This window comes from Homo sapiens, chromosome 1 (genome assembly GCF_000001405.40).
Source record: "Homo sapiens chromosome 1, GRCh38.p14 Primary Assembly".
NCBI classification, from domain to species: Eukaryota; Metazoa; Chordata; class Mammalia; order Primates; family Hominidae; genus Homo; species Homo sapiens.
The window spans coordinates 207,533,124-207,553,650 of NC_000001.11; the positions used below are offsets into that span (position 1 = coordinate 207,533,124).

The 20,527-nt window shown below is 40.4% G+C and overlaps 1 protein-coding gene across 1 annotated transcript in view; it reads left to right on the top strand.

Annotated features, from left to right (window-relative positions):
* CR1 (complement C3b/C4b receptor 1 (Knops blood group)) overlaps positions 1-20,527 on the top strand; it is a 145,609-nt gene that overhangs the window by 36,967 nt on the left and 88,115 nt on the right. Inside the window, exons 10-19 of the mRNA NM_000651.6 lie at positions 286-465; positions 1,074-1,173; positions 6,858-6,943; positions 9,059-9,457; positions 12,185-12,361; positions 12,453-12,555; positions 14,148-14,233; positions 17,612-17,830; positions 18,841-19,020; positions 19,629-19,728. Of these exons, the coding sequence (NP_000642.3) occupies positions 286-465; positions 1,074-1,173; positions 6,858-6,943; positions 9,059-9,457; positions 12,185-12,361; positions 12,453-12,555; positions 14,148-14,233; positions 17,612-17,830; positions 18,841-19,020; positions 19,629-19,728 (1,630 nt within the window). The remainder of the gene's footprint in view (positions 1-285; positions 466-1,073; positions 1,174-6,857; positions 6,944-9,058; positions 9,458-12,184; positions 12,362-12,452; positions 12,556-14,147; positions 14,234-17,611; positions 17,831-18,840; positions 19,021-19,628; positions 19,729-20,527) is intronic.

Genomic DNA, 20,527 nt, shown 5'->3' on the forward strand with positions numbered 1-20,527 from the left:
AACACAGTGAAACTCCAACTCTACTAAAAATAGAAAAAAAATTTAAAAACAAAAATAAATTATATGAGTAGAAAGACCAGATAGCAGGCTAGTCTTCCAAATAATATACTTCCTTATAAGCCTATGCTAATGGAACTTTCCTTTCTATTTTACAGGGAAGTTTTTTTTTTTTCATAACTAAAATTTTCTTTTCTTCTGGCATCAAATCTACCAAGGAAGAGAAAAGAGGAAACACACTGGGTATCTTTTTATTAACTCAAATATTCTTGATTTCTTGGTCTCTAGGTCACTGTCAAGCCCCAGATCATTTTCTGTTTGCCAAGTTGAAAACCCAAACCAATGCATCTGACTTTCCCATTGGGACATCTTTAAAGTACGAATGCCGTCCTGAGTACTACGGGAGGCCATTCTCTATCACATGTCTAGATAACCTGGTCTGGTCAAGTCCCAAAGATGTCTGTAAACGTGCGTAAACTTGCGTTGGATCTTTCCCATGTCTGCAAAAGCTTCTTATGGAATTATTTCAAATGTGGGATATGAGAAACCTTTTCTGAAAAGTGTTCGGATAGATGGATGTAAGAGTTTTTCTTGTAGGCATCCTTGATTGTTGCTTGAAATGTTAACTTCATGAGAATGTTTCAAGAAATAGTTGTAGAGAAAATCTTCATTCCCTATGGGAAAGAAAATAATAAATGACTAGATCAGGAAAAAAATGGTGTAGGAAGACAAATTCTGTTTGAATAACTAGGTGGGAAGAAATCCTTTGCAAACTTTGAAATATATTGATAGTAAATAATGCCATAAATGACCTTTACATTTTGATAAGGGATGCAAGGTCTCTACACAGATCTAAATCTAGATCTAGATAGATCTGGAGGGAAGGTCTTTTTGAAAGTGGGGCTTAGTAGGTGGCTGATCCTCAGCGCTCTGATGAGTTTTCTCAAGGTGCCAAAATCTGTGGAACCATCAGAGCCGCGTGTTTTCTTCAGGAAGCTACATGCAGGTTGAGACCTTACGTACTGAAGAGAGTTCAGATTACTCTACCTGGCTCCAAAACATTTTCTTTCCCACAGGTAAATCATGTAAAACTCCTCCAGATCCAGTGAATGGCATGGTGCATGTGATCACAGACATCCAGGTTGGATCCAGAATCAACTATTCTTGTACTACAGGGTGAGTTGGCAGCAACATCTCTTGGTTTAAGAGTTCCAGCACAGCGATAGTACTTTCTAGCCACATCTCAGCAAGGAAACTAGGCTATTGCCACCTGCTCTTAAGAGGCTTGAACACAGGTGTTAACTCCTGATTGAAATGAACAAAGATAGGAGAAGATTAGGGGGAAAATCTGTATCCTTGCTGGAAACCAGGGCAGTGCACATATAAAGAGTATGCTGTTCACTGGATGGGAAGGAAAAAAACTTAGAAGTGTAGTAGTCAAAGCACACAAACAACCCTAACCCAGAGTAGACATTGCTGGAAGAAAGGGAAGACCATGTAGCAGCTGTGTGAGAGAATGAATCTTAATGATAACAGCATGATCCCTTGCTAGGGCTGCCATCAAAAAGTACAGGCCTTCCTCGTTTTATTGTACTTCGCAGATGTTATGCTTTTTACAAATTGAACGCTTGTGGGAACGCTGTGTAAGCATGTTCGTCGGCATCATTTATCCAACAGCGTGTGTTGACTTCGTGTCTCTGTGTAGCATTTTGATTATTCTCACAGTATCCCAGATGTTTTCATTATTATCATGTCTGTGATAGTGATCTGTCATCAGTGATCTTTGATGTTACTATTGTCATTGTTTGGGGTCCCTACGAACTGCACCCATATAAGACAGAAAACTTAATCAATAAATGTGCGTGCTTTGACTGCTCCATGGACTAGACATTCCCCTTCTGTCTCCCTCTCTTCAGGACTCCCTAATCCCTGAGACACAATAATACTAAAATGACTCCAATTAATAACCCTACAATAGCCTTTAAGTGTTGACATGAAGGGAAGAGTCATGCATCTCTTACTTTAAATCAAAAGCTAGAGATGATTAAGCTTACTGAGGAAGATACGTTGAAAACCAAGATAGGCCAAAAGCCATTCCTCATGTGCCAAACAGCTAGAAAGTTGTAAAGGCAAAGTAAAAATACTTGAAGGAAATTTAAAATGCTCTTCCAGTGAACACATGTATGATAAGAAGGTAAAACAGCCTTATTGCTGATATGGAAGAAGTTTTAGTGGTCTAGACATAAGATCAAACTAGAAACATTTCCTGAAGCCAAAGCGTAATCCTGAGCAAGGCCGTAACTCTCTTCAATTCTGTGAAGGCTGACAGAAGCTGGAAGCTAGCAGAATTTGGTTCCTGAGGTTTAAGGAAAGAAGCCCTCTCCATAACATAAAGGTCCAAGGTGAAGCAGCCAGTGCTCATATAGAAGTTGCAGCAAGTTATCTAGAAAATCTAGCTAAGATCACTGACGAAGGTGTTACACTAAATAACAGATTTTCCATGTAGACAAAACAGCCATCTATTGGACTTTCATAGCTAGAGAGGAGAAGCCAATACCTGGGTTCAAAGCTTCAAAGAACAGGCTGACTTTTTAGGAGCTAATGCCGCTGGTGACTTTGAGTTGAAGCCAATGTTCACCGACCATTCTAAAAATCCTAGGGCCCTTAAGCATTAAGTTAAATATACCTTGCCTGTGTCTATAAATGGAAGAACAAAGCCTGATGACAGAGGTATGTTTGCGGCATAGTTTACTGAATATTTTAAGCCCACTGTTGAGATCTAGTGCTCAGAAAAACAGATTCCTTTCAAAATATTACTGCTCATTGACATTGCACCTAAGCAGCCAAGAGCTCTAATGGAGAAGGACATGGAGATGAATGGAGTTTTCCTGCCTGCTAACAACAGCAGCCATTCTGCAGCCCATGGCTGAAGGAGTAATTTTGACTTTCAAGTTTCACTATTTAAGAAATACATTTTGTAAGGTGAGTCCCCACAGACAGTAATTCCTCTGATGGATCTGAACAAAATAAGTTGAAAACTGCTGGAAAGAATTCATCATTCTACATACCATTAAGAACATTCGTGATTCATGGGAAGAGCTTAAAATATCAACATTAATAGGAGTTTGGTAGAAGTTAATTCCAACCCTCATGGCTGACTTTGAGAGGTTCAAGACTTCAGCGGAGGAAATAACTGAAGATGTGGTGAAAATCGCAAGAGAACTACAATTAGAAGTGGAGCCTGAAGACGTGACTGAATTGCGACAAATTCATGATCAAACTTGAACAGATGAGGAGTTGCTTCTCATGAATCAGCAGAGAAAGTGGTTTTTTTGAGGTGGAGTGTCTTCCTGGTGATGATGACATGAGCATTGTGAAAATGACCACAAAGGATACAGAATATTACAAAAACTTAGGTGATAAAGCAGCAGCAGTATCGGGAGGATTAACTCCAATTTTGAAAGCAGTTCAGAGGGTAAAATGTTATCAAACAGCATTGCATGCTAGAAAAATCTTTTGTGAAAGGAAGAGTCCATCAATACAGCAATTTTATTGCTGTCTCAGCTTAAGAAATTGCCACAGCCACCCCAGCCTTCAGCAACCACCACCCTGATCAGTCAGCAGCCATCAACCTTGAGGCAAGACCCTCCACCAACAAAAAGATTACAAATTATTGAAGGTCAGATAATCTTTAGTATTTTCTTATCAATAAACCTTTTTTTAAAGTATGACTTTGTTTAGACATAATGCTATTTCACACTTAATAGACTACCGTATAGTATAAACACAACTTTTAGACTCACTGAGAAATCAAAAAATTCATCTGACTCATTTGTTGTGATATGTGTTTTATTGTGGTGGTCTGGAACTGAACCTGCAATATATTTGAGGAATGTCTGTAACACGAAGTGGGCGGCTTAATACAACAGAAGTTTTTGGAGTTCCATTCTAGAGACTGGAAATCCAAAATCAAGGTTTTGGGAGGGCCACGCTCCCTCTGAATCCTGTAGGGAAGGATCCTTCATTGCATCTTCCAGCTTCTGGAGCCACAGGCCTTCCTTGGCATGTGGCAGCAGAACTCCAATTTCTGTCTCTGTCCTCATATGGCCATCTTCCCTCTGGGTCTGTGTCCTCATATGCTGTTCTCTCTGTGCATGTCTGTTTCCAAAGTTTTCCCTTTTAATAAGGACACCAGTCACACTGGATTAGGGCCTACCTTCATGACCTCACCTTAACTTGATTGCGTCTGCAAAGATCGTATTTCCAAATAAGGTCACATCCACAGGGACTGGAGGTTAAGACTTCAGCATACTCAGGGGAGACACAATTCAACCTATAACAGAGCCCCTTTGAAAATGTCAGGCATCAGGTGCTCACAGCACACGGTCCAGCTGTTGGTGCTCACCCTTGCTCAGCACACGGTGGAGGCTCTGCCTCAATCTCATTCTTCATGGGAACAGCTAAGCCAGGTAGCGAATACGAGTTACGTTTGTGTCACCACAGCAGACACTGAAAGGAAGTTTGTGGTGTCCAGCACATTTGCCAGCATAGGCCTCACAGACCACAACACCTAGAATCTGACAAAAATTAGAATAAATCCGATGTCTCCTTTTCTCTCTTTTTTTAAGCATTTTTAAATACAATTGGTAAATTTCCTGACTGTACCCTACTCATCTTGCATTGCTGAATAAGTGAGGAACCTCTCTATGGCATGAAGCAGAAAACCATTGAGCTTATGAGAAGAAACAGGAAATACATGTAAAAGAGACCAGTCTGAAAAATCAGGAGAAATTTTACAAAAGAGATTTACTGCCAAGAAACCAGGGAAACTTTCAGAACACTCTCCTTTTCATATTTGTAACAAGATTCAATTGTACAAATACTTCTGTGAAACTAGCCATGAAGTGTGTACATGAATGAATATATGTATTCAGTGTGTTTATATATTTCATTTCATACATGTGATCTATATCATATATATATATATATATATATATATATATCACAATGAATATTGCAGAAAATTAAAGCAAAGAGTAAGAAGAGTTAACCAAATGTTCCCTGAATGCAGTGGGAAAAGATGAAAAGGAGAAGACAGGCAAGCACAGTGGCTCACACATGTAATCCCAACATATTGAGAGGCCGGGGCAAGAGGATCACTTGAGCCCAGGAGCTCAAGACCAGCCTGGACAACATGGCAAAAACCCATCTCTACAAAAAAGTATAAAAATTAGCTGGGCATGGCAGCATGTGACTGTAGTCACAGCTAGGCAGGAGAATGAAGTGGGAGGATCACCTGAGCCCAGGAGGCTGAGGCTTCAGTGAGCCTTGATGGCAACCCTGCACTCCAGCCTGGATGACAGAATGAGACCCTGTCTCAAAAAAGGAAAAAGAGAAGACATATGTAACACAGTGTCAGGATTCAAAATACATGTAGCAAAAATTCCAGAAGGGTAAGCAAATAAGCCCATACCTAGCCATCACTAGGGAAACTTCTGTGTTTCAGGGATAGAGAAAAAAACTCTGATTCCAGAAATAAAATGTGAAAATATAATACCCGCAAAAGAAATAAATTTATTGACACCACATTGATTCTATATTGTATAAGATATATTGTATAACACTAAATTGTAGAAGATAGCACTTCTCTTGAGCCAAGCTAATATGCACACCTAGAGGCTCCAGGTACACATTAAAGGATAAGCAAAGACACAAAAATTGTACCATTTAAGTATGTTTCCCAGGCAATTCATAAGCAAATTTTTAAAAAGGAGAATGATGAATTCCAAAGGAAATCTCAATGAGATAGGATGTAGGTAAAAAGAAAAAACAACAATAAAAAAAACATACACACAAAATCTTGGCAATGTAATAATAATTTATTAATAATCTCTCTAAACTCATAGAATATATCAATAAAACTAGAAAATGTGAGACAGCAAGAAAAGATAGGCTAGACTTACATTACAGAAAAGATGAGTAGACTGACTATATAGAGTTTGACTCTAAAATTGAGAAAAGAGGTTTAAATATGTGTCACGTGTATATGTATAATATACATGCACACATATAAAATGAAATTCCTCACTGGAAAAAATATTAAGTTTAATTTCCAAATTATTAGAATGACTAAAACAGTTGAATCTATCTGTTCCATATAGTAATTGAGGGGGAAGGAAAAGGAATAGCAAGGAATCCATTTTTCTCTTCCACCAGAAATAAGCTCCCTCATGTTTGGGTCAGGTCACTTTATTCATTGCTTTCTCCACATCCTCATCATTAGGCATCATGAAATCAATGAAAAGGCAGTGAAAGAATGATGATGAAAGCTAATCAAATGTATCATTTACCTCAATACGTTTGGTTTAATCTTCTTGTTGAAAGACAAATTCTCCTAGACAGGATCAAAAGCAACATATCTTGTATTTATAAAAAACATGTCTCAAGTAAAATGACATAGTATTATACACACACACACACATACACACACACACACACATTAAGGGAAAATGCAGACAAAAAATGGCAGAAATAATATTTAGAGAAAGATAGAATTTAAGAAAAAAAATTGTCAAACAGGTCTGCAAAATAATTGTTTTATTTTGGTGCCAGTTACAGTCCGCAATGAAGCGAAGATATTAAGAAGCAAAGTGGGCCAGGAGAAATTAGAGCAGAAATATCTCTTTCAATAGTGAGAGAATAGGAAAAAGAAGTAGAAAAGCTGGGAACAATAGGTAAAGTTTAGGCTAGGCCTTAGACTTCTCCTGCATTGTAATCCCTCTGGTTTGCCACATATGCATGCTGTCAGGAAGTTGATGAGGTATGTACAGCACAATTTATTTTCCATTTTTTGCCTTTAGGCACCGACTCATTGGTCACTCATCTGCTGAATGTATCCTCTCGGGCAATGCTGCCCATTGGAGCACGAAGCCGCCAATTTGTCAACGTGAGTTGAAATCTCTTTCCCCATTCACCCCACCGTTTAATCCTAGAGTTGTCCTCCTAGAATTACAAAGAATGGATCTCATCCCTCTTGGAAATGGTATCCTTCTCATATTTGAAGAATCCAGTCATATCCTTAAAATGGCTCACAGCATTCCAAACTTCCACCTTCAGCTAGAAATGCTTTTTTATTTTTTCTTATCTCAAGGTCTAATTTTTTTTAAACTAGTCTTTAGCTCACTTAAACAGTCCCCCAATTTCATCCTCTGTTGGGTGAACACCTCCCAGTTTAAAGAGCATTTTATTTAGTGAAGTCAACAAATACAAAGTCAGTGAAAGAAACCCCATATCCTCTCTGCAAGCTCTTAGTATCACATCAGATATTCAAGCCATGCAGCTCTTTCTTCCTTCTTATTCTTTGTCTAAACAGGATCATGCCATCTTCCCTGTGAGTTGTTTGGAAGATGAGCTTTCTACATTTTGGGGAGCAAAGACGAATGAGCAATTGCAAGCTAACAAGGAATATAAAATGTGTATAATCCTGGGTTTAGTGATGGTGTGAGGAAATCAGCAATTTCAAACCCAGTTGGTGGGAGGATAAGTGGGAACAAACTTTGTAGAAGGCCAATAAACTGGCTGGGCACTGCCCTACGGTAGAGTAGGACACAGTATTCAGTTCTTCCAAGATCAGACGAGATTGGGCGCATTTAGGGTGGTATGGTTGTAGATCAGTATCCAGTTCTTTTTATTATTTCTGAATCTGTAAGTATCATGTTTATTATATGTAATATTGTATATTTGTACTTTGTCTTTGTTAGTTCTTCCAGAGCTTTTGTTCTTATTATTTAATAAAGATGTTATACTGAGCCACATGTGGTGACTCAAACGTGTAATCCCAGCACTTTGGGAGGCCTAGGTGAGCAGATGGCTTGAGTCCAGGAGTTTGAGACCAGCCTGTACAACATACTGAAACGCTGTCTCTACAAAAATACAAAAACTATACGGGCATGGTGGCACATGCCTGTAGTCCCAACTACTCAGGAGACTGAGAGGTGGGAGGATTGCTTGAGCCAGAGAGGTCGAGGCTGCAATGAGCCATGATCGTGCCACTGCACTCCAGTCTGGGCAGCAGAGCAAGACCTTGTCTCAAAAAAAATGCTATGCTGTATGCTTTATTATATTAATATCCAATAGAATAAAGACACATGCCTTCTATATAGAGAGAACTAAATTAATAATGGTGAGATAACAGTTAAATTCTCATTTAGCAGGAGAAATAAAAACATAGACTATAGGCTAGGCACAGTGGCTCATACCTGTAATCCCAGCACATTAGGAGGCTGAGGTGGGCAGATCACTTGAGGTCAGTAGTTTGAGACCACCCTGGCCAACATAATGAAACCCCGCCTCTACTAAAAATACAAAAGTTAGCCGAGTTTGGTGGCGCATGCCTGAAATCCCAGCTACTCAGGAGGCTGAGGCAGGAAAATCGCTTGAACCTGGGAGGCAAGGGCTGCAGTGAGCCAAGATCACGCCACTGCACTCCAGCCTGGGGAACAGAGTGAGGATCTGTTAAAAAAAAAAAAAAAAAGTGGACTCTAATAATACATGGACACATTTAGTGAAATAAACTTAACTGAGTAGAGCAGAACTTATAATATTTTAAAACTGTAAGAACATGTCTGTACATTAGCAAATAGTAGATGAGAATAGTATTTTCAATATTTACTTCTGGTAATTTGGAATTAAAAAAAAAACTTTTGGGAAAATTTACAATAAAGTATGATTTTAACAAACCAGGCTAGGCGTGGTGGCTCACGCTTATAATCCCAGCACTTTGAAAAGCAGAGGCATGCAGATTGCTTGAGGCCAGGAGTTCAAGACTAGCCTGCCCAACATGGCCAAACCCCATCTCTACTAAAAATACAAAAATAAACCAGACATGGTAGTGCATGCCTGTGATCCCAGCTACTCGGGAAGTTGAGGTAGGAGGATTGCTTGACCTGGGAAGTGGAGGTTGCAGTGAGCCATGATCGTGCCACTACACTCCAGCCTGGGTGACAGAGCAAGACTCTGTCCCAAGGTTTTGTTTTGGTTAACTTGCTGTCCCTTTTTCCAGGAATTCCTTGTGGGCTACCCCCCACCATCGCCAATGGAGATTTCATTAGCACCAACAGAGAGAATTTTCACTATGGATCAGTGGTGACCTACCGCTGCAATCCTGGAAGCGGAGGGAGAAAGGTGTTTGAGCTTGTGGGTGAGCCCTCCATATACTGCACCAGCAATGACGATCAAGTGGGCATCTGGAGCGGCCCGGCCCCTCAGTGCATTATACCTAACAAATGCACGCCTCCAAATGTGGAAAATGGAATATTGGTATCTGACAACAGAAGCTTATTTTCCTTAAATGAAGTTGTGGAGTTTAGGTGTCAGCCTGGCTTTGTCATGAAAGGACCCCGCCGTGTGAAGTGCCAGGCCCTGAACAAATGGGAGCCGGAGCTACCAAGCTGCTCCAGGGGTGAGTCTGACTGAGGCCTAGTAGGGCCCTGCAAGTGACATGCGTTGCTGTTGGATCAGGAGATTAGTATTTGTTCACGGGGAGGGATGTGTGCTGAGCAGGGTCGAGGAGCAAATTTTCTAAGTAGTGAACATGAAATTCAGGTGTGTAGACATGCACATGTGCTGAAATTGAGAAGCAAAGCTCAACCTGGGCAAGGGATATGATGTTTCTTTGGGGTTCTTATAAACAGATCTATCAATTACCTTTGAGTATAATAATGTTTGATACAAAATGAGTGATTCCTCTGCCCAGGCACTATAATACAGGCTACATGTGAATTTTAATCCTGAAAACAAAGTTATTAGGTAGTTCCCAGTTGTTCTATGTTTGTCTGTTTTGTTTTGCTTGAGATACTGTCTTGATCTGTCACTCAGGTTGGACTGCAGTGGTGCCATCATGGCATACTTCACCCTCCACCTCCCTGACTCAAGCAAGTCTCCTGCCTGAGCCTCCCAAGTAGCTGGGAATGTAGGTGCATGCCACCATGCCTGGCTAAGTTTTTTATATTTTTTTTGTAGGGACAGAGTCTCACCATGCTGCCCAGGCTGGTCTCAAACTCCTCAGCTCAAGCACCCACCCACCTTGGGCTCCCAAAGTGCTGGGATTATAGGCATGAGCCACTGTGCCCGGCCTCTATGTTTTACAGAGAATATGTGCCTTAGACACATCAGATAACATTCTGAGACAGTAACTTGCAGACAAAACTGGATTGCAAGTCCACCTCACTCCAGAGCCTTGGCTTTGCTCATCAGCATTCAGTCATGAAATCAAAACTTACTCTAGATACTTTCAAGGAGGGAGGGATTTCATGCAGGTTGTATTAGTCTGTTCTCACATTCCTATAAAAAACTACTTGAGCCTGGGTAATTTATAAAGAAAAGATGTTTAATTGACTCAGAGTTCTGTAGGCTGTACAGGAGGCATGGCTGGGAAAGTTACAATCATGGTGGAAGGCAAAGAGGAAGCACGCATATCTTCATATGCTTGGCAGGAGAGAGAGAGAGAGCAAGGCAGAGGTGTTACAGACTTTGAAACAAGCAGATCTTGACAGAACTCTATCACAAGACAGCACTAGGGTGATGGTGCTCAACCATTAGAAACCACCTCCATGATCCAGTCACCTCCCACCAGGCTCCTTCTCCAACACTGGGAATTACCATTTGACATGAGATTTGGGAGGGGACATAGAGCCAAACCATATCGCAGCTAATAGGTCACAAAAATGTTAGAAGGGCAGGAAAAGCAATAGGACAAAGGCAAAGTTACGAGAGATCAGGGAGCTGCTGTGGCTCCCAGTCTACAGCACAGGAGCCTGGAGTGATGGTGAAATGGCCAGCCCCTCCCACTGAGCAGGCAGCTCCCTGTAAGCTGCTAATACTGCAGGAGCCACCATTGCTGCCAGAATGCAGCTGATATTGCTGGAGCCAAAGTCATTGGCATCGTTACAATTGAAGCTGTAGCTACTCACTGAAGCCATCTATACTGCCACTGCCTGAGCCACTTCTAGAAGTAGAACAGATTCTGCCATCATCCTGCTTTTTAATTTGGTATATATGCCTCCAATTGGCAGAACCTAACCAGAGCCTAGCTATCAAGGAAGATGAACGATTTATTTTTAAGGCCTCCATTGTTAGCTGTCAAAAGACAGTGCAGAAATGTGAGGCTGGGGGCCAACAGAAATTTAACCAGCACAGCACCTCAATATTACATCACCAGGCATTGATTAGTCCAGGGAAACACTGGGTGATGAGCCCTGAAAATGGACATTACAGCATCAGAGTATTTACAAACTCCTTAAAGAAGTCATTTTTCTATTCCAATCCCCCATTTGATGCTTGAGAAAGCTGAAGTCCAGAAAAGGGAACTGATCTGCTCAAAGACAAACTGAAATTACTTTTTCCATTTTATAACAGTTTTATGTAATTTATTTGAGATCCAAATGTGTTTTGATTTCCCAAGATCAGATCAACTACATTAAGAGAGAGCCTGAGATGCCGTTACAATATGTTGTGTGAAATTACACTCTCATTATGGTGACAGTAGGTCTTTCAGATTTTGTTCGACAGTTTCCCACCTTCTCACTGAAGTGAAATGAATGACTAGGCAGCACCTTGCTACATAGCATGAAGAGAGGAGACCCATAGTTCTTTACCACCCTATGTCAGGTGGCCGCTGAGAGAAGACTTGAAAGGAGATGAGCATAGATGTATGGACGCTCTTTGTTGCACCAGTGTGATAGGTGATGGAGGGACCTATTAGATGGGACATGGGCAGGGGCACTCCTTTATTGCTTAAAATGCAAGACTAAATTGGTGATGCCTTTCTAGAAAGGAAGTATGAAGATACAAAAATCCATCATTCCTCCCAATTTTGTACTGGGTGAACAGTAATTGGAAGCATTCTAGAAGGAACTGTCCATTGTGAAATCTTAGTTGCATACTTTAGATGAAAAACAATGAATTGGAGATACCTCTGTTTTAGTCACAGTTGTGCCATGTGTCAGTTCTATGACTGATGGCAAGACATCTTCCTTGCCCCGTGTATTTAGTTTATCAATGTAATAAGGCTGTTATTCTAACTTTATTATTATATATAGATTCGTAATTATTATTCCCTTGGCCAGTTTAACAGTGAGAAAAAAGTTGTTTTCACACAATTAGCTGTACTTTGTTTCTCTCTCCCCAGTATGTCAGCCACCTCCAGATGTCCTGCATGCTGAGCGTACCCAAAGGGACAAGGACAACTTTTCACCCGGGCAGGAAGTGTTCTACAGCTGTGAGCCCGGCTACGACCTCAGAGGGGCTGCGTCTATGCGCTGCACACCCCAGGGAGACTGGAGCCCTGCAGCCCCCACATGTGAAGGTGACTAGACTCTTATCTGGCTTGATATTTTTAGCTTGCGTCTTTATTCTCCACATGCCAGTGATTTCTGTTCGTTTTTCTTTATCTCCAGTGAAATCCTGTGATGACTTCATGGGCCAACTTCTTAATGGCCGTGTGCTATTTCCAGTAAATCTCCAGCTTGGAGCAAAAGTGGATTTTGTTTGTGATGAAGGGTGAGTATGAGCTTGCCTGACCTGCTGGACATTGAAATTGGGGTTGGGAATCAGTCTAAAAAGGGGAGATTTGGTGTGGCACACACACACACACCTTCAGAGAGATGAACTTTCGAAAGTATACCTAGGAAGAAAGGAAAGAAACATATAGAACTAATAACATGAGATATGAAGAGGAAACTGGAACATATATTAACTGGCAAGTTCAAAGGCAAGTATAACTACTGGTTATGAATATATAAGTAACACATTAAGCAAAAAATATCAGCCAGAAACGGTGGCTCACCCCTGTAATCCTAGCACCTTTGGGAGGTTGAGGCGGGCAGATCACCTGAGGTCAGGAGTTGGAGACCAGCCTGGACAACATGATGAAACCCTGTCTCTACTAAAAATACAAAAGTTAGCTGGGTGTGGTGGCATGTGCCTGTAATCCCAGCTATTCCGGAGGCTGAGGCACCAGAATCACTTGAACCTGGGAGGTGGAGTTTGCAGTGAGCCGAGATGGCACCATTGCACTCCAGCGTGGACAATAAGAGTGAAACTCCATCTCAGGAAAAAAAATCATATTTTACAAGCAAAAAGGAATATGAGTAATTTAGAGAGTCCCAGGAAAAAACTGGAAGTAACAAAAGCTTATTATAAAAAGCTAGGATCATTTGTGAATCATTTCAGTAAATTCTTTAAATCGTCAACAGTGAAATTTGTAATAGGACTGAAAATGTAAAAATCAGCATTTTTTAAAAAAATCCAGCCATATATCATCTGGTTAATCATGGGCTCTGGGCTCTGAGCTGGGGTCCTGATGGCTGCTGTTAATATTTCCAGCAAGCTCATTACCTTGTTTATGTCCACCTAGTGCTCTTCGCAGGGTGCACATCTCTACACGGGAGCTGACCGGCATGGGCAACAAAGCACCTGATCCCAAAATGTAACACAGAATCTTGGCAGCCTCCAAATGCCAGCACCCAGTAAGAGTTAGGAGGGCATCGGGGTCCAGCAGACATTGAGAATTTTCGACAATTGCATGCAAAAAATAAGTCCTCTCTTCTTTCCTTTTTCCCCTAGAATATTCATGCTTACTCTTCAGCAGCCCAAATTGCCCTTTTGAGCCTTCTTCACGCCATCACAGATGTGGAGATGAAAGGACAGTCTGTTCTCTCGCCAGCTATTTCCCACTTTTCCACTCCAAACTGGGAGCTGTTTTACTTGCTGTTCCAGGGTCAGAGTTAGGAAGGCATTACATTAGAAGACTGGGTTTCTAATAACAACAATGAGTGATTTATCAGGTTATCATGGAGTAATCAGTGAAACTCCAAGCCTGGGTCCTGGGTCAAGGGGATGGCGCCTATGTCATGACCACCTTTTTCAGTTCAAGCAGGACTATCATGTGACCAAGCTACTGCATTTTGCCATTCTATATTGTTCCCTTCTGGAGGCTGTGATTTTTCCAGAATAAGGTAGCCTGTGCAACTCTGCCACCTGCTGGCCTAAGGTCCTAATAATCCTGAAATTGGGGCTGGGCCTTAGATTGTGAACTAAGGGTTCTCTTGGCTGAAACAGCTCACACTATTCACTCCTATTTTCTTCTTTAGATTTCAATTAAAAGGCAGCTCTGCTAGTTACTGTGTCTTGGCTGGAATGGAAAGCCTTTGGAATAGCAGTGTTCCAGTGTGTGAACGTGAGTAGCAGGAGTAACATTTCAGGCCAGTCTCTCCCTTCATCTGTTCAGTATTTGACCCATGACCTCCCCTAATGTGGTTCTTCAATTTTCTAGTTTGAATTATTGATTTGAAAATTGCTTATTTTAATAATGTTTGGTTGTGAATCAAATGTATACATCACCTGTCTTTGGAACCATCTGATCTGTCTCTGTCCTTCTGTATTCTGTGTTCTAGTGCGATAAATCCTATGGTAGCATGATTCTAGGTCAGGAGAGATTAGATAATGTGAAGCCTTAACAATTTGCTTTCTTTCTCTCTTTCTTTTGTTTCTTTTTTCTCTTCCTTCCTTTCTTCAGTTCTTTCTTCCCTTCTCTTTCTCTCCCCTTTCTTCCTTCCTTCCTCCTTCTTTCTTTTCCATTTTGTTCTTCCATCAGGTGCAGTCTACAATTTTTGTATATATTTGATAATACACAAATATTAAACATGCCTTTATTTAATCAATATTTATTGATCACATACTTTGTGCCTGATGTTCATCTAGCCACAGGAGTTATATCAGTGAACAAGATGAATGAATTCCCTGTCCCCATGTTGTTTCCACTCAGTTGGGGAAAGGGACAAGAAAAAAAATAAATACGATGCTATGAAGATAGTAGAGCAAAGCATTTAGGCATGAGGGAAAAGTGAGGAGCAACATTAGACAAGGCGAGCAGTTTGAGACTCCTTAAATTCTCAAAACATGTACCTAAATAATTTATGCTGAGAGATTCATAAATAATGTCATTTTTAAAAATTTATTATACTTTTAAGTTCTAGGGTACATGTGCACAACGTGCAGGTTTGTTACATATGTATACATGTGCCATGTTGGTGTGCTGCACCCATTAACTCGTCATTTACATTAGGTATATCTCCTAATGCTATCCCTCCCCGCTTCCCCCACCCCACAACAGGCCCCGGTGTGTGATGTTCCCCTTTTTGTGTCCAAGTGTTCTCACTGTTCAATTCCCACCTATGAGTGAGAACATGTGGTGTTTGGTTTTTTGTCCTTGTGATAGTTTGCTGAGAATGATGGTTTCCAGCTTCATCCATGTCCCTAAAAAGGACATGAACTCATCAATTTTTATGGCTGCATAGTATTCCATGGTGTATATGTGCCACATTTTCTTAATCCAGTCTATCATTGATGGACATTTGGGTTGGTTCCAAGTCTTTGCTATTGTGAATAATGCAGCAATAAACATATGTGTGCATGTGTCTTTATAGCAGCATGATTTATAATCCTTTGGGTATATACCCAGTAATGGGATCGCTGGGTCAAATGGTATTTCTAGTTCTAGATCTTTGAGGAATCACCACACTGTCTTCCACAATGGTTGAACTAGGTTACAGTCCCACCAACAGTGTAAAAATGTTCCTATTTCTCCACATCTTCTCCAGCACCTGTTGTTTCCTGACTTTTTAATGATAGCCATTCTAACTGGTGTGAGATGGTATCTCATTGTGGTTTTGATTTGCATTTCTCTGATGGCCAGTGATGATGAGCATTTTTTCATGTGTCTGTTAGCTGCATAAATGTCTTCTTTTGAGAAGTGTCTGTTCATATCCTTCACCCACTTTTTGATGGGGTTGTTTTTTTCTTTTAAATTTGTTTGAGTTCATTGTAGATTCTGGATATTAGCCCTTTGTCAGATGAGTAGATTGCAAAAATGTTCTCCCATTCTGTAGGTTGTCTGTTCACTCTGATGGTAGTTTCTTTTGCTGTGCAGAAGCTCTTTAGTTTAATTATATCCCCTTTGTCAATTTTGGCTTTTGTTGCCATTGCTTTTGGTGTTTTAGACATGAAGTCCTTGCCCATGCCTGTGTCCTGAATGGTATTGCCTATGTTTTCTTCTAGGATTTTTATGGTTTTAGGTCTAACATTTATGTCTTTAATCCATCTTGAATTAATTTTTGTATACAGTGTAAGGAAGGGATCCAGTTTCAGCTTTCTACATATGGCTAGCCAGTTTTCCCAGTACCATTTATTAAATAGGGAATCCTTTCCCCATTTCTTGTTTTTGTCAGGTTTGTCAAAGATCAGATGGTTGTAGATGTGTAGTATTATTTCTGAGGGCTCTGTTCTGTTGCATTGGTCTATATCTCTGTTTTGGTACCAGTACCATGCTGTTTTGGTTACTGTAGCCTTGTAGTATAGTTTGAAGTCAGGTAGTTTGATGCCTCCAGTTTGTTCTTTTGGCTTAGGATAGACTTGGCAATGCAGGCTTTTTAAATAATGTCATTTTTAAAAAATGAGCCCCATATGTTCAATAATGAGTAGACTACTGATTTCTCCTAGTCTCCCCATTTATAATTTCCCCAATAGAAGATAGAACTTTGCTTCATTTCTTGATTCTAATGATTGGGAAATGTGTTTCTTTAGAAAACCATGAAATTTTACTAAAATGTTTATGTTGTTAGAAATGGACATCTTACAGTGCTTTTTAGAGTAAAATTTTGGAAGAACATAACTTATATAGAGATTCTTGCTGTCTAAGAAATTCAGTGCTCCTTGAAGCAGCATGACAAATTTCTGTTCTACCATCATGAATGAAAGCTCATTGATTGGACTACTCAAGCTTTCTCTTATTTTTCATAACTGTTGCTAGTTAAAGTAGCTTCTTCCAAATTCCAGTTCTAATGAAAAATGCCAATTAGAAATGAGGAAGAAACTGTTCTAAACAAATCAGCAGATGCTAGAAAGGAGAAACAACTTGAAACCTGACCCAGAAAGTTAAAAGAGAAAATAAATCATCAACAGACCTAGACATTTTCAAAAGCAAAGCCATCTGAATCCATTTGGAGTTGTTTTTTATCATGGCCTTACTATGTTTTAATTCACTGTGACAGGGCTATTGTTATCACTGAGATTGATGATCAATATCAAGAAGTAATCAGCGAAAGGTTTCACCTATTTAAGATGATTAGCACACATATGTACATTTGAGAAATATTTCCTAAGAATGCAGGCTCCTTCCTCAGCACTCTGTCCCCAGGATCCTGATGAGTGGCTGACACAGGACAAGTGCTTAATTAATATATATTGACTAAATGAATGAGCAACCCTTCAAAATGGCTATTTTTCTTTTTCAAATGTTTTGCTACTTCATTAAAGTTGTAAAGTTTCCATTGTCCAGGAACCGTTACTATCCGGAAGATTCAGGATAGACAAGTCTCTTTTGTACTTTGCAATACACTTTCATTGATATCTCATTTAATCCAACTCTTCAAAGTCCTAATGTCTACTGTCATCTCCTTAGCATATTTTCAGCAACACCAATCATAGCACCCTGTAATTGCAGAATACCTCTGGTGAAACTCCTGAATGAAACTTAGAGCTTTCATGTTTTTTCTAGAAATCTTTTGTCCAAGTCCTCCAGTTATTCCTAATGGGAGACACACAGGAAAACCTCTGGAAGTCTTTCCCTTTGGGAAAACAGTAAATTACACATGCGACCCCCACCCAGACAGAGGGACGAGCTTCGACCTCATTGGAGAGAGCACCATCCGCTGCACAAGTGACCCTCAAGGGAATGGGGTTTGGAGCAGCCCTGCCCCTCGCTGTGGAATTCTGGGTTAGTGCTCATTTCCCCACATCCCAAATGGGTTCAGAATATCTAACCCAGGCCCTCCATATTTCCGTAATTACAATGTGGTATTTATTTGTGCATTTGCCACAATGGAATGCCAAACCAATGATAGATGGTTCTAAGGTAGGTCAACACATAAGATCCTGATGACCTTTGCAGATGGAGGGACTGATGAAAAAAGAGGGAGGCGGTGAGTGGTGGGAAAGTCCTTCATTAGAATCATATGAATTAAAAACAGATGCCTGTGAATCTCCTTATTGAAATGTTTGGTTTAGAAATCTGACCTAGAAAATCGGTGGCTCCTTCTGCCAGGAAACGTCTTGAGTTCCCGCCCATGCTTGACAGCCTCTCATTGGAGTTTTGATGACTTGAAGTACAAGGAAACCAGACAGGAAAGGTGGAACCTGGGCAGAAAAACTCTTTCTGGCTTCCTAAAAATGTGAAAAATTAAATGGGAGCTATCTTTACATTAAATTATATGAGCATTAGCTGAGCGTGGTGGCAATTGCCTGTGGTCCCAGCTACTCGAGAGGCTGAGATGGGAGTATCCCTTAAGCCTGGGAGGCAGAGGTTGCAGTGAGCCAAGATTGTGCCACTGCACTCCAGCCTGGGTGACAGAGCGAGACCCTATCTCAAAAACAATAAAAATAGGCATTAGGAGGCCAAGGCTGGTGGATCACTAGAGGTCAGGAGTTCCAGACCAGCCCGCAAACACAGTGAAACTCCAACTCTACTAAAAATAGAAAAAAAATTTAAAAACAAAAATAAATTATATGAGTAGAAAGACCAGATAGCAGGCTAGTCTTCCAAATAATATACTTCCTTATAAGCCTATGCTAATGGAACTTTCCTTTCTATTTTACAGGGAAGTTTTTTTTTTTTCATAACTAAAATTTTCTTTTCTTCTGGCATCAAATCTACCAAGGAAGAGAAAAGAGGAAACACACTGGGTATCTTTTTATTAACTCAAATATTCTTGATTTCTTGGTCTCTAGGTCACTGTCAAGCCCCAGATCATTTTCTGTTTGCCAAGTTGAAAACCCAAACCAATGCATCTGACTTTCCCATTGGGACATCTTTAAAGTACGAATGCCGTCCTGAGTACTACGGGAGGCCATTCTCTATCACATGTCTAGATAACCTGGTCTGGTCAAGTCCCAAAGATGTCTGTAAACGTGCGTAAACTTGCGTTGGATCTTTCCCATGTCTGCAAAAGCTTCTTATGGAATTATTTCAAATGTGGGATATGAGAAACCTTTTCTGAAAAGTGTTCGGATAGATGGATGTAAGAGTTTTTCTTGTAGGCATCCTTGATTGTTGCTTGAAATGTTAACTTCATGAGAATGTTTCAAGAAATAGTTGTAGAGAAAATCTTCATTCCCTATGGGAAAGAAAATAATAAATGACTAGATCAGGAAAAAAATGGTGTAGGAAGACAAATTCTGTTTGAATAACTAGGTGGGAAGAAATCCTTTGCAAACTTTGAAATATATTGATAGTAAATAATGCCATAAATGACCTTTACATTTTGATAAGGGATGCAAGGTCTCTACACAGATCTAAATCTAGATCTAGATAGATCTGGAGGGAAGGTCTTTTTGAAAGTGGGGCTTAGTAGGTGGCTGATCCTCAGCGCTCTGATGAGTTTTCTCAAGGTGCCAAAATCTGTGGAACCATCAGAACCGCGTGTTTTCTTCAGGAAGCTACATGCAGGTTGAGACCTTACGTACTGAAGAGAGTTCAGATTACTCTACCTGGCTCCAAAACATTTTCTTTCCCACAGGTAAATCATGTAAAACTCCTCCAGATCCAGTGAATGGCATGGTGCATGTGATCACAGACATCCAGGTTGGATCCAGAATCAACTATTCTTGTACTACAGGGTGAGTTGGCAGCAACATCTCTTGGTTTAAGAGTTCCAGCACAGCGATAGTACTTTCTAGCCACATCTCAGCAAGGAAACTAGGCTATTGCCACCTGCTCTTAAGAGGCTTGAACACAGGTGTTAACTCCTGATTGAAATGAACAAAGATAGGAGAAGATTAGGGGGAAAATCTGTATCCTTGCTGGAAACCAGGGCAGTGCACATATAAAGAGTATGCTGTTCACTGGATGGGAAAGAAAAAAAATTAGAAGTGTAGTAGTCAAAGCACACAAACAACCCTAACCCAGAGTAGACATTGCTGGAAGAAAGGGAAGACCATGTAGCAGCTGTGTGAGAGAATGAATCTTAATGATAACAGCATGATCCCTTGCTAGGGCTGCCATCAAAAAGTACAGGCCTTCCTCGTTTTATTGTACTTCGCAGATGTTATGCTTTTTACAAATTGAACGCTTGTGGGAACGCTGTGTAAGCATGTTCGTCGGCATCATTTATCCAACAGCGTGTGTTGACTTCGTGTCTCTGTGTAGCATTTTGATTATTCTCACAGTATCCCAGATGTTTTCATTATTATCATGTCTGTGATAGTGATCTGTCATCAGTGATCTTTGATGTTACTATTGTCATTGTTTGGGGTCCCTACGAACTGCACCCATATAAGACAGAAAACTTAATCAATAAATGTGCGTGCTTTGACTGCTCCATGGACTAGACATTCCCCTTCTGTCTCCCTCTCTTCAGGACTCCCTAATCCCTGAGACACAATAATACTAAAATGACTCCAATTAATAACCCTACAA